At 43.4% G+C, this 10,051-nt stretch overlaps 1 protein-coding gene across 51 annotated transcripts in view; it reads left to right on the forward strand.

Moving 5' to 3' along the window:
* The window catches only part of FANCI (FA complementation group I), a 73,281-nt gene that overhangs the window by 61,501 nt on the left and 1,729 nt on the right, over positions 1 to 10,051 (forward strand). For all 51 annotated transcript variants that reach the window (XM_047432789.1, XM_047432806.1, XM_047432815.1 and 48 more), the window contains 7 exons: positions 126 to 219; positions 528 to 715; positions 1,997 to 2,050; positions 2,134 to 2,193; positions 7,425 to 7,493; positions 9,133 to 9,228; positions 9,803 to 9,910. In XM_047432789.1, the coding sequence (XP_047288745.1) occupies positions 126 to 219; positions 528 to 715; positions 1,997 to 2,050; positions 2,134 to 2,193; positions 7,425 to 7,493; positions 9,133 to 9,228; positions 9,803 to 9,910 (669 nt within the window). The remainder of the gene's footprint in view (positions 1 to 125; positions 220 to 527; positions 716 to 1,996; positions 2,051 to 2,133; positions 2,194 to 7,424; positions 7,494 to 9,132; positions 9,229 to 9,802; positions 9,911 to 10,051) is intronic.

Here is a 10,051-nt window from a genome sequence, read left to right on the forward strand (position 1 = left end):
TGTGTCCTATAGCGGCTTGTGTCCTGAGGCCTGTAACCCACCTGTAGGTGGCCAGGTGACCACAGTTATTATATTACCCCCACAGCTGTGTGTAGTGAATCACACCAGGCACTCTTTTCTTTCAGTTACTTGTTCTGAGTCAGGCCGAGAAGGTTCTAGAAGAAGTGGACTGGCTAATCACCAAGCTTAAGGGACAAGTGAGCCAAGAAACCTTATCAGGTAAGATAAGTTCAACTGGGATTCCAGGAATTGACATGAGCAAGGTCAAAATTCATATTGGGTCGGTGCATAAAAATGGAGCCCCTGAGCTAAATTTCTTATTTGCCTTTAAGCTAGATTTTTTCCTATGTGATGAAAGAAGTAGAAGATCATATGTCTTATCACAGCACGATTAATTCACTCTGCATATTGAATGTTCGTTTTTCCATAAAGACTTTCTAGTTAGTAGTAATCAATTTCTAAATCTCCTTTACTCTTAATTAGAAAACGAAGTTGGGTTTGAATGTGCCAATTTTATTTCCCTTTAGAAGAGGCCTCTTCTCAGGCAACCCTACCAAATCAGCCTGTTGAGAAAGCTATCATCATGCAACTGGGAACTCTGCTTACATTTTTCCACGAGCTGGTGCAGACAGCTCTGCCATCAGGCAGCTGTGTGGACACCTTGTTAAAGGACTTGTGCAAAATGTACACCACACTTACAGCCCTTGTCAGATATGTGAGTATTTGAGACAAGCAGATTCGCCCCACCATTCTACCCCAGTGAGCCAGGAGATGAGGATGGGGCAGCAGCCCACTGCTGCAGAATGCCCCTAAACAAGAGAGCATTTGCCTCCATCTTGGCAGGTCATGGTTTCATTTTAGTTTGGTCAGTAGGTGGCAGGCATCTCCACAGGCCAGGGAAAAACAGTTTATAATTCTAATCTGCTTTTGGGCCTGTCACGGTGGTTCATGCCTGTAATCCCAGCACTTTGGTAGGCTGAGACGGGCGGATCACCTGAGGTCAGGAGTTCGAGACCAGCCTGGCCAACATGGTGAAACCCCGTCTCTACTAAAAATACAAAAAGTAGCTGGGCGTGGTGGTGGGCACCTGTAATCCCAGCTACTCAGGAGGCTGAGGCAGGAGAATCGCTTGAACCCAGGAGGCGGAGGTTGCAGTGAGCTGAGATTGTGCCACTGTACTCCAGCGTTGGCAATAGAGTGAGACTCCATCTCAAAAATTAAAAAAATAAAGTAAAAATCTGCTTTTGGAGGCCCTTAATTCTTTGGCATGTATGTGGCACCTGATTGAGAATGAATGCCTCTTTTAAATACCTTCTAAGGTTTAATCTAAACTATAACTATCCTAGAATTAAATCTGGGCCCATAATGCATAGAAATTATACCATTTCTAACCAGTCTGGACACTTAAAGAGATGTTTATTCCTTTTTTCATTCCTTTAACATGTAGGTGTTAAATGCCTTATAGATCAAATACTAAGGTGGGGAAGAAAATTATTTTTTATAAAAATACAAGGCATACCCTGCCCTTACTGTTTATGTTCCTAGCAATGATCCATATTAAATACTTAGAAAGGCACAGATAATCCAAGAAAGATGTGGACCACCCCGCATCACAGCAGTGTGGCTCTCTCAGAATGTGTAGCTCTAGCTACATGTGGCTAAGCTGCTGTAGTGGAAATACTGAGAGCCTCTTCTCTTTATTGGCATCTTTAAAAGGAAAAACAGCAAAGTTGTTGGTTTTTTACATGCAGGGACTACCAGCCTGAGGAATTTTTAAAGAAATGAGCAAATCAGAAACAAACCCTTCATTACTTATTGTCTGGGAAGCTTAGGAGCTTTGGAGGAGAGGAATAAGGAAGCTTGTGTCTTGGCTTCTCTGTGAATTTTGTTTTTCCTCTTCAGTCAGAATGATGAGTCACACTCCATAGGCTCACTGCAGCAGTCACTTGTAGTTTCATAGGACAGTCTACTAAATCTAGGAATCTTTTTTTATTAGTATCTCCAGGTGTGTCAGAGCTCCGGAGGAATTCCAAAAAATATGGAAAAGCTGGTGAGTTGAGAATGCCTTTCCTAGGAATGGGGGAAGCACTTTTACTGCTGGTTACATTGGTTTCCTTCTCCCTTGTTGTGCAGGTGAAGCTGTCTGGTTCTCATCTGACCCCCCTGTGTTATTCTTTCATTTCTTACGTACAGGTAAGAGATTCAGAGGCAGTACCCAATAGGTCTTCAAGAAAGGATTTCTTACATGCCCAGGGGACTATTGATCACCTGAACTGAGCATATATAAACTTTTTTCCCTGCTTACCACAAGCTGGAGGCACCCATCAGAGACCAAGCCAAGGCTTGAGGGCTTTGCAGCAAGGACATCTTTATGTAAAGAAAACTGTTTCACTTAATTTGGAGAAAGGAAGCATATATGTTTGCATTTGGAGCAAGGAAGGAACAAGCATGCTCAGGCTCAAGGACTTGGTTTATTCCTGGGTGACTGAAAGTCCATGCCATGAGGCATCCTCTGGGAATGTGAGCAGAGTAGCAGCAAGCACATGAAGAAGGGTTGTGATGAGACGGCAGTGCAGTGAGGGCACTTTCAGGGAAGTGGAAGGACGTGGCTTTGTAAGTGTCATTTGGTCCTAAATACCATCAGATTCCTGCAGTACTTGAATCTCCTTTACTGTTTGCTTAAACCAGTTTTTTAACCTCACCACTATTGACATGTTGCGCTAGATAATTCTTTGTTGTGGGACCTGTTCTGTGCATTTTGGGATGTTGAGTAGCATCCCTGGCCTCCACCTACCAGATGCCAGTAGCAGCCCCCTAGTTTTAACAGCCAAAAATGTCTCCAGAAATTGCCAGTTGTCCTTAAGGGACAGAATCACCCCTCGTTGGAAAGAGGAAGAAACGAGAGATCTACTGTCTCCTAAGGCCACTTAGTCATGCAGTAAATGTATCACAGGGCTGTTACTGATCTTTGAGGAATCAAAGAGAATGGGTCCACTAAGTGTCAATCTCAGCCAAGATTCTAGAACCAATTATTAAAGCAATGGATCGTGACCACTTTGGTAGTGATGCTTCACTTGTTTTCTGCCTCTGCATCACTTACAGGCACAATATCATTCTATCAGTAACTTGCCTCATTATGTGTATTCAGGGTGCCTCTTCCCCTCCCTTTAAGAATCAGCAATCAGCTGGGCACAGTGGCTCATGCCTGTAATTGCAGCACTTTGGGAGGCCGAGGCGGGTGGATCACCTGAGGTCAGGACTTCAAGACCAGCCTGGCCAACATGGTGAAACCCCATCTCTACAAAAAATACAAAAAATTAGCTGAGCATGCTGGCGGGCACCTGTAATCCCAGCTACTTGGGAGGCTGAGGCAGGAGAATCGCCTGAACCTGGAGGGCGGAGGTTGCAGTGAGCAAAGATCGCACTGTTGTGCTCCAGCCTAGCAACAAGAGCGAAACTCCGTCTCAAAAAAAAAAAAAATAAAGAATCAGCCATCAAGTGGGCTGTCATCTGGGTTTAGCTGAAGGAGTTCTTAGTAATGGGCTGATAGTTGAGACTCTCTGTCACCTTGCCTTTGTATCAGTTTTGTGATCTGGGTCAGGAATGCATCATCCATTTTCTATATCCAGCCATCCAGCCAGTAGTCAACTGTCATAAAGCTATTACTTCTGGTCCTCTCCTTTTATCTCACCCAAATGCTTGCAGGAATGCTTTCTCAAACCTCATGCTTGTAAATTTTCATGTGGGTGCCATTCGTCAAACAAATCTGTTGTCTATATATAGGATATATATCTGTCCATTCCCATATTTGGGTTTTGAGTTTCCTCATCTCCAAGTCTTAATGATACCTATAAAGACACATTTCACAAAATATGCTATATAGACTGAGACAGTCCTCAAAAAAAAAAGGAATTCAGGGAGAGATGCTCATACCGTATATCTCTCACCTTAGAGATTCGTGGTGTCCATTTGCATATTAAAGGTGCTGAGACCAGTCATGGTGGTTAATGGAGGCTGAGGTAAGAAGATCACTTGAGGCCAGGAGTTCAAGACCAGCCTGGGCAACATAGTGAGACCCCGTCTCTACAAAAAATTTAAAATTTAAGCCAGGTGTTTGCCTATAGTCCCAGTTACTTGGGAGGCTGAGGCAGGAAGATCACTTGAGCCTAGGACTTGAAGGCTGCAGTGAGCCATGATCATGCCACTGTACTCCAAGGCAACAGCGTGAGACCCTGTCTCAAGAAAAATAAAAACAGTGCTGAGAGTTCCAACAGTATGTTCATTAGTAGTTTTCAGACCTATTCAAGAACATTTTTAAAAAAATAACAAATGTTACTATTTGGCAGAATAATGTTCCATAGAGTACAGTTTGGGAAATACTGCTGTTAAATGCTATTTACTACCCTTGTTATGATTCAAAAGTCACATTGTCTAATAATTTTATTAGAACAGGTAATGCTTAGAGAACCTCTACCTTGTGTCTGATGTGTTAAGCTCTTTTCATACATCATCTCATTCATCCTAGCTATAGGTTATGATTAGTAGTTATCCCCATATGCATGATGAGAAAGGTTAATCAGAATGCCCAAGAACAGACCATGAGTAAAAGGCAGATCTGAGACTTGAACCCAGCTAGTTAGACTCGATAGCAGGAATTGGCACACTTTTTCTGTAAAGGGCCAGATAGTAAATGTGGGTCATACAGTCTCTATCACACCTACTCAACTCTACTATTAGAACATAAAAGCAGCCATAGATAACTTACAAATAAACGAGCATGGCTATGTTCCAATGAAATTTTCTTATCAAAAACAGGCAGTGGGCCAGATTTATACTATGGGCTATAGTCAGTCAACCATTGCTCTAGAGTCATACCTGGTACTTGTTGACATGTAAAATGTTGGAAGGTTTTGATTTTCGTGTTTCTGACCCCATTTTCAAGCATTTTCTTCTGGGAATCACTACTACTTCCTAGACTGCTATTATTTTCCCCTCATTACACAGTAATCAGTTTCATTTCCTCCCTAGGCATTTTCCTCCTCCTCCATCCATATTTGACTTAAAGCCTTACTGACAAGTCAGCTGATCTGCAGGCAAACATTTTACATTTTTCTGTTTTTGTGAGATGTATTTAATGAGTGCCCCCTGGGCAAGAGCCCATGCATGGTTCCATTAACTCCAGCTCTTAACTAGAAATGGGGATTGCATTTTCCACACCTCTCAGTGAACTGTTAATTCTCTTGTAGCCCCCTCTTCATTTCCCCAGTTCCTTAGATCTCAATGGGAAGAAAGCAACGAAAACCATTGCTGCAACTCTTAGCATCCTGCCCAGAACTGTATACCTTTAAAAGATGCTTCTCAAGGGTCGGACATGGTGGCTCATGCCTGTAATCCCAGCACTTTGGGAGGCCGAGGTGGGAGAATCACAAGGTCTGGAGTTTGAGACCAGCCTGGCCAACATGGTGAAATCCCGTCTCAACTAAAGATACAAAAAATAGCAGGGCACGGTGGCTCACACCTGTAATCTCAGCATTTTGGGAGGCTGAGGCAGGCGGATCACAAGGTCAGGAGTTCGAAACTAGCCCGGCCAACATGGTGAAACCCCATTTCTACTAAAAAAAATACAAAAATTAGCTGGGCATGGTGGCAGGCGCCTGTAATCCCAGCTACTCGGGAGGCTGAGGCAGGAGAATTGCTTGAACCCGGGAGGTGGAGGTTGCAGTGAGATGAGATCACACCACTGCACTCCAGCCTGGGCAACAGAGCATGACTCTGTCTCAAAAAAAAAAATTAGCCGGGCATGGTAGTGCGTGCCTGTAATCCCAGCTACTCGGGAAGCTGAGGCAGGAGAATCGCTTGAACCTGGGAGGCAGAGGTTGCAGTGAGCTGAGATCGCACCATTGTACTCCAGCCTGGGCGACAGAGTGAAACTCCACCTCAAAAAAAGATGCTTCTCTTCTGGCTCTAATTTTAGTCCTGCCCGCCCGGATCAGTTGGAATGGGCAGGGAACAGGGTTGATCTAAGGAGTTCCAACAGGGCCCCATCTTGGACACAACCTCTGGGAAGATGGTTCACTTCCCACTTGGTCAGTGAGGTCGATCCGTGACTGCTTCCTTGCCCTCTTCTGCTGCCTTCACCCTCTTCCATGCTCTACCCTGCCTTCCAGGGCCAAAAACAGATTACTGCATACCAGCCCCTCTGGAATGTCTGCAGTTCCTTATTTTCCAGAACGTGGCATGTGGAACAAGTCTCCTGTTTCTCTCATGGCTCCAGTTGCAGAGCCTCTCTGTATTTTCAGGTCTGTTTCTTTATTCTGTTGCCCTCGTGGAGCATGGTATGTTCCCTTCCTAAGAAGGTTTAGAACTCCCCTTGAGGTAAAAAGCTGCCTACATTTCTGTACCGTACCTTACATTTGGGTGGTTTTTCTCCCCAGTCTCTCCTGACTCAAGTCTTGATTTTCTTTTGCTTTATCAGAATCTTACACTTTTTGGTTCCTTTTATTAGTTATTCATCCCTCTCCAGGAGCTCTTTATTACCCAATAATTTACAACACAGGGAAGTGTTCTGTGACCCTTTTAACCCTTCTTGAGCATGATAACCCATTGCACATAAAATATATCTGGTTTTGGCTTTGCTGAGTAACGAAAATAAAATATATCTGGTGATTGCCTGTAAGTGGGAAGACTGCAGGGCCCTGCAGCAGCCTCCTCAGCTTCCTCTCCTTTATGGGATCCTTCTAGCCCACTGGCTAAAATAGAAATAGAAATGAATATTCCTGCTACCACCTTGACAGTCCCCATTTTAACCATTCTTTAGTACCTCACCAGCCCCTTGGCTGACCCACTGCAGTAATAGTCCTGCCTTCAACTTCCATGTGCCAGCTCTAAGAACAACAGATTGTAAACCTCTCAACAACTAAAAAAGAAAAAATATCTGAGGATTACAAAGCATCCATTTTTTCCCTATCTTCTAACATCTGTTGCACAGATAGTCCTGTTTACTCCAGACTTGGTCCTCATACCCTGTGTAATTACCTTCTAAGAAAATTGCCACTAGTTGGTGGGCATGGTGGCTTAGGCCTGTAATCCCAGCACTTTGGGAGGCTGAGGCCGGCAGATCACCTGAGGCCAGGAGTTCGAGACCAGCCTGGCCAACATGGCAAAACACCGTCTCTACTAAAAATACAAAAATTAGCTGAGTGTGGTGGCACGTGCCTGTAGTCCCAGCTACTCGGGAGGCTGAGGCACAAGAATCACTTAACTCGGGGCGCAGAGGTTACAGTGGGTCGACATCACGCCACTGCACACCAGCCTGGGTGACAGCAAAGCTCTGTCTTAAAAAAAAAAAAAAAAAAATTAGCACTAGCATGCTAGCTCCACAGAAAAATCATCAGGAATAAGAGAATGTGTTTCTATTTCTTTAGAATAAGAGTAAGAGCCTGAACTATACGGGAGAGAAAAAGGAGAAACCTGCTGCCGTTGCCACAGCCATGGTAAGCTGCTGACACTGACCGTTAAAATATGCTTGTTGGTGAACCCGAAAACATGAAGCGGAAGAAGCCAGTGACAAAAAGACCACGTGTTGTATGATTCCATTTTCATGAAGTGCCCAGAATAAATCATCTAAAAAGGCAAACTAGATTAGTGGTAGCGTAGAGCTAGGTGGGTTGGAAGATGGGGAGACTGGGGTGACAGCTAAAAACGGTATGGAATTTCTTTTGGGGGTGATGAAAATGTTTTAGAATTGACTGTGATGATGGTTGCACAACTCTGCAAATACTGAAAAAAAAGTACATTGTGAGTGAATTGTATGGTATATGAATTACAGCTCTATCAAGCTGTTAGAAAAAATTGTGTGTATTATATACATGGCTGCTTCTCAACTCAGGGATTTTATGATCAGATGGAGCATCTTATTTTTCCTCTGAACCAAAAACATGTTTTATTCACGAAGCACCAGAAAATCTTGAGTTGAAATGGAAATAGTAAAATAACTTACGATACTCAATTGGGAGAAATTATTTTTAGGTAAAGTTGGTGAATGCAAAAGGTGCTCCCTAAAAGATGTGTAAGAGTCAGCGGGGGTACAGGAAAGGAGGCACTTAGTACATTGCTGGCAAAGGTGAAAATTAGTACAGCCTCTCCAGAGGCTTAGCAATGACTACTGAATCCCATTCTGATGTAGCAGTTTCACTTTTAGGATATACAGGCCTGTGTACAGGATGGTCCTCACAACATTATTTATAAAAGTGAAATATTAGAAACAAAGATATCCATTAATAGAGGACTGGCTAAATAGGTTATAATATATTTATACTGGAGAGATATGAAAAAAATAAACATCTAAATGTTCAGCTCTCTGGAATTATCTCCAAGATAATGTTAAAAAAAATTTGTACAGTATCCTCATGGGTTAAAAATACACACACACACACACACACACACACGTAGGACCTACAAATTACAATTCACGTTAGGGGGAAAGATATATAATCACACACACACACACACACACACACACACAAATGTAGGACCTACAAATTACAGTTCACGTTAGGGGGAAAGATATATAATCACAGACACACACACACACACACAAATGTAGGACCTACAAATTACAATTCACGTTAGGAGGAAAGACACACACACAAAAACGTAGGACCACACACAAAAATGTAGGACCTTTCGTTAGGGGGAAAGACACACACACACACACGTAGAACCTACAAATTACAATTCACGTTAGGGGGAAAGATATATAATCCCAGCAGTGAAAATTCATACCCAGACCAGAACAAGGAAATAGAGCTAGGGCCAAAATAGGCTTAAGAATTTCAAGTCAGAAAAGCAACTAAATTTCTACAAGTGATCCTGCCCTCCTCAGCCATTTTCTAGATAACAACAAATACTGGAATTATAAATGAAATGGATCAGTGCAATTATCTCTACTGGCATTTGGGTCCTTCCAGATTGAACTGCCAAAAATTTTAGATTACTGGTATACAACTGCATTTGATTGGGAGACAGACTAGTTTTCCCCTAAAGCCATACAGTTTTGTAAGTGACAGCTTCAGAGGAAAACTTCAAAAACCATTGAACCTGAAATTTAAGTCTTATGTTCTTTGCCCTTAGGCCAGAGTTCTTCGGGAAACCAAGCCAATCCCTAACCTCATCTTTGCCATAGAACAGTATGAAAAATTTCTCATCCACCTTTCTAAGAAGTCCAAGGTAAACATTCTCTTATTATGTGCTACCATTCCCATTTACCTTCTTGACAGATCTGGCAAACTGAAGCAGCACAACTACAATGGAGGAAAAGAGACTCTGGGCCATTTGTGTGTTTGCCATCCCCCCTCTCCCCCCCCCCCCCTTTTTTTTTTTGAGACTGTGTCTCATTCTGTCACCCAGGCTGGAGTGCACATTCAAGTGATCCTCTGGCCTCAGCCTCCAGAGTAGCTGGGACTACAGTCATATGCCATCATACCCCACTAGTTTTTTGGGTTTGTTTTTGTAGAGATGGGGTCTCACTATGCTGCCCAGGCTGGTCTCAAACTCCTGGCCTGAAGTGATCCTTCCACCTTGGCCTCCCAAAGTGCTGGGATTACAGGCATGAGCCACCACACTCAGCCTCTTTGCTGTTCTTGATCTGATGACCTGAACCCCAGCATACAGAAGGAAGTGGGTGCGTGCTTGCTTTAGGTAGAAATGGAAAGGTTTCTCAGAGGTGAACTAAAAATGGCTTAAGCTGTTCTGGCAGGACCTATGAGTAGGGAGATGTCCCATGCTTACAATCTTGTCATAGGTGAACCTGATGCAGCACATGAAGCTCAGCACCTCACGAGACTTCAAGATCAAAGGAAACATCCTAGACATGGTTCTTCGAGAGGATGGTGAAGATGAAAATGAAGAGGTCAGTGCTGGCTTCTGTCTGGAGCCCAGCCACTCTTCCTAGCTGGTTAGCAGCCTATCTGGGAGCAGTCACAGATTAGTGGAAGGGCAACAGAATGGGAAAGGGCTAAAAGGTGATCAGGCAAAGATGAGAGCAAAGGAC

Source organism: Homo sapiens, chromosome 15, assembly GCF_000001405.40.
Source record: "Homo sapiens chromosome 15, GRCh38.p14 Primary Assembly".
In the NCBI taxonomy this organism is placed as follows: Eukaryota; Metazoa; Chordata; class Mammalia; order Primates; family Hominidae; genus Homo; species Homo sapiens.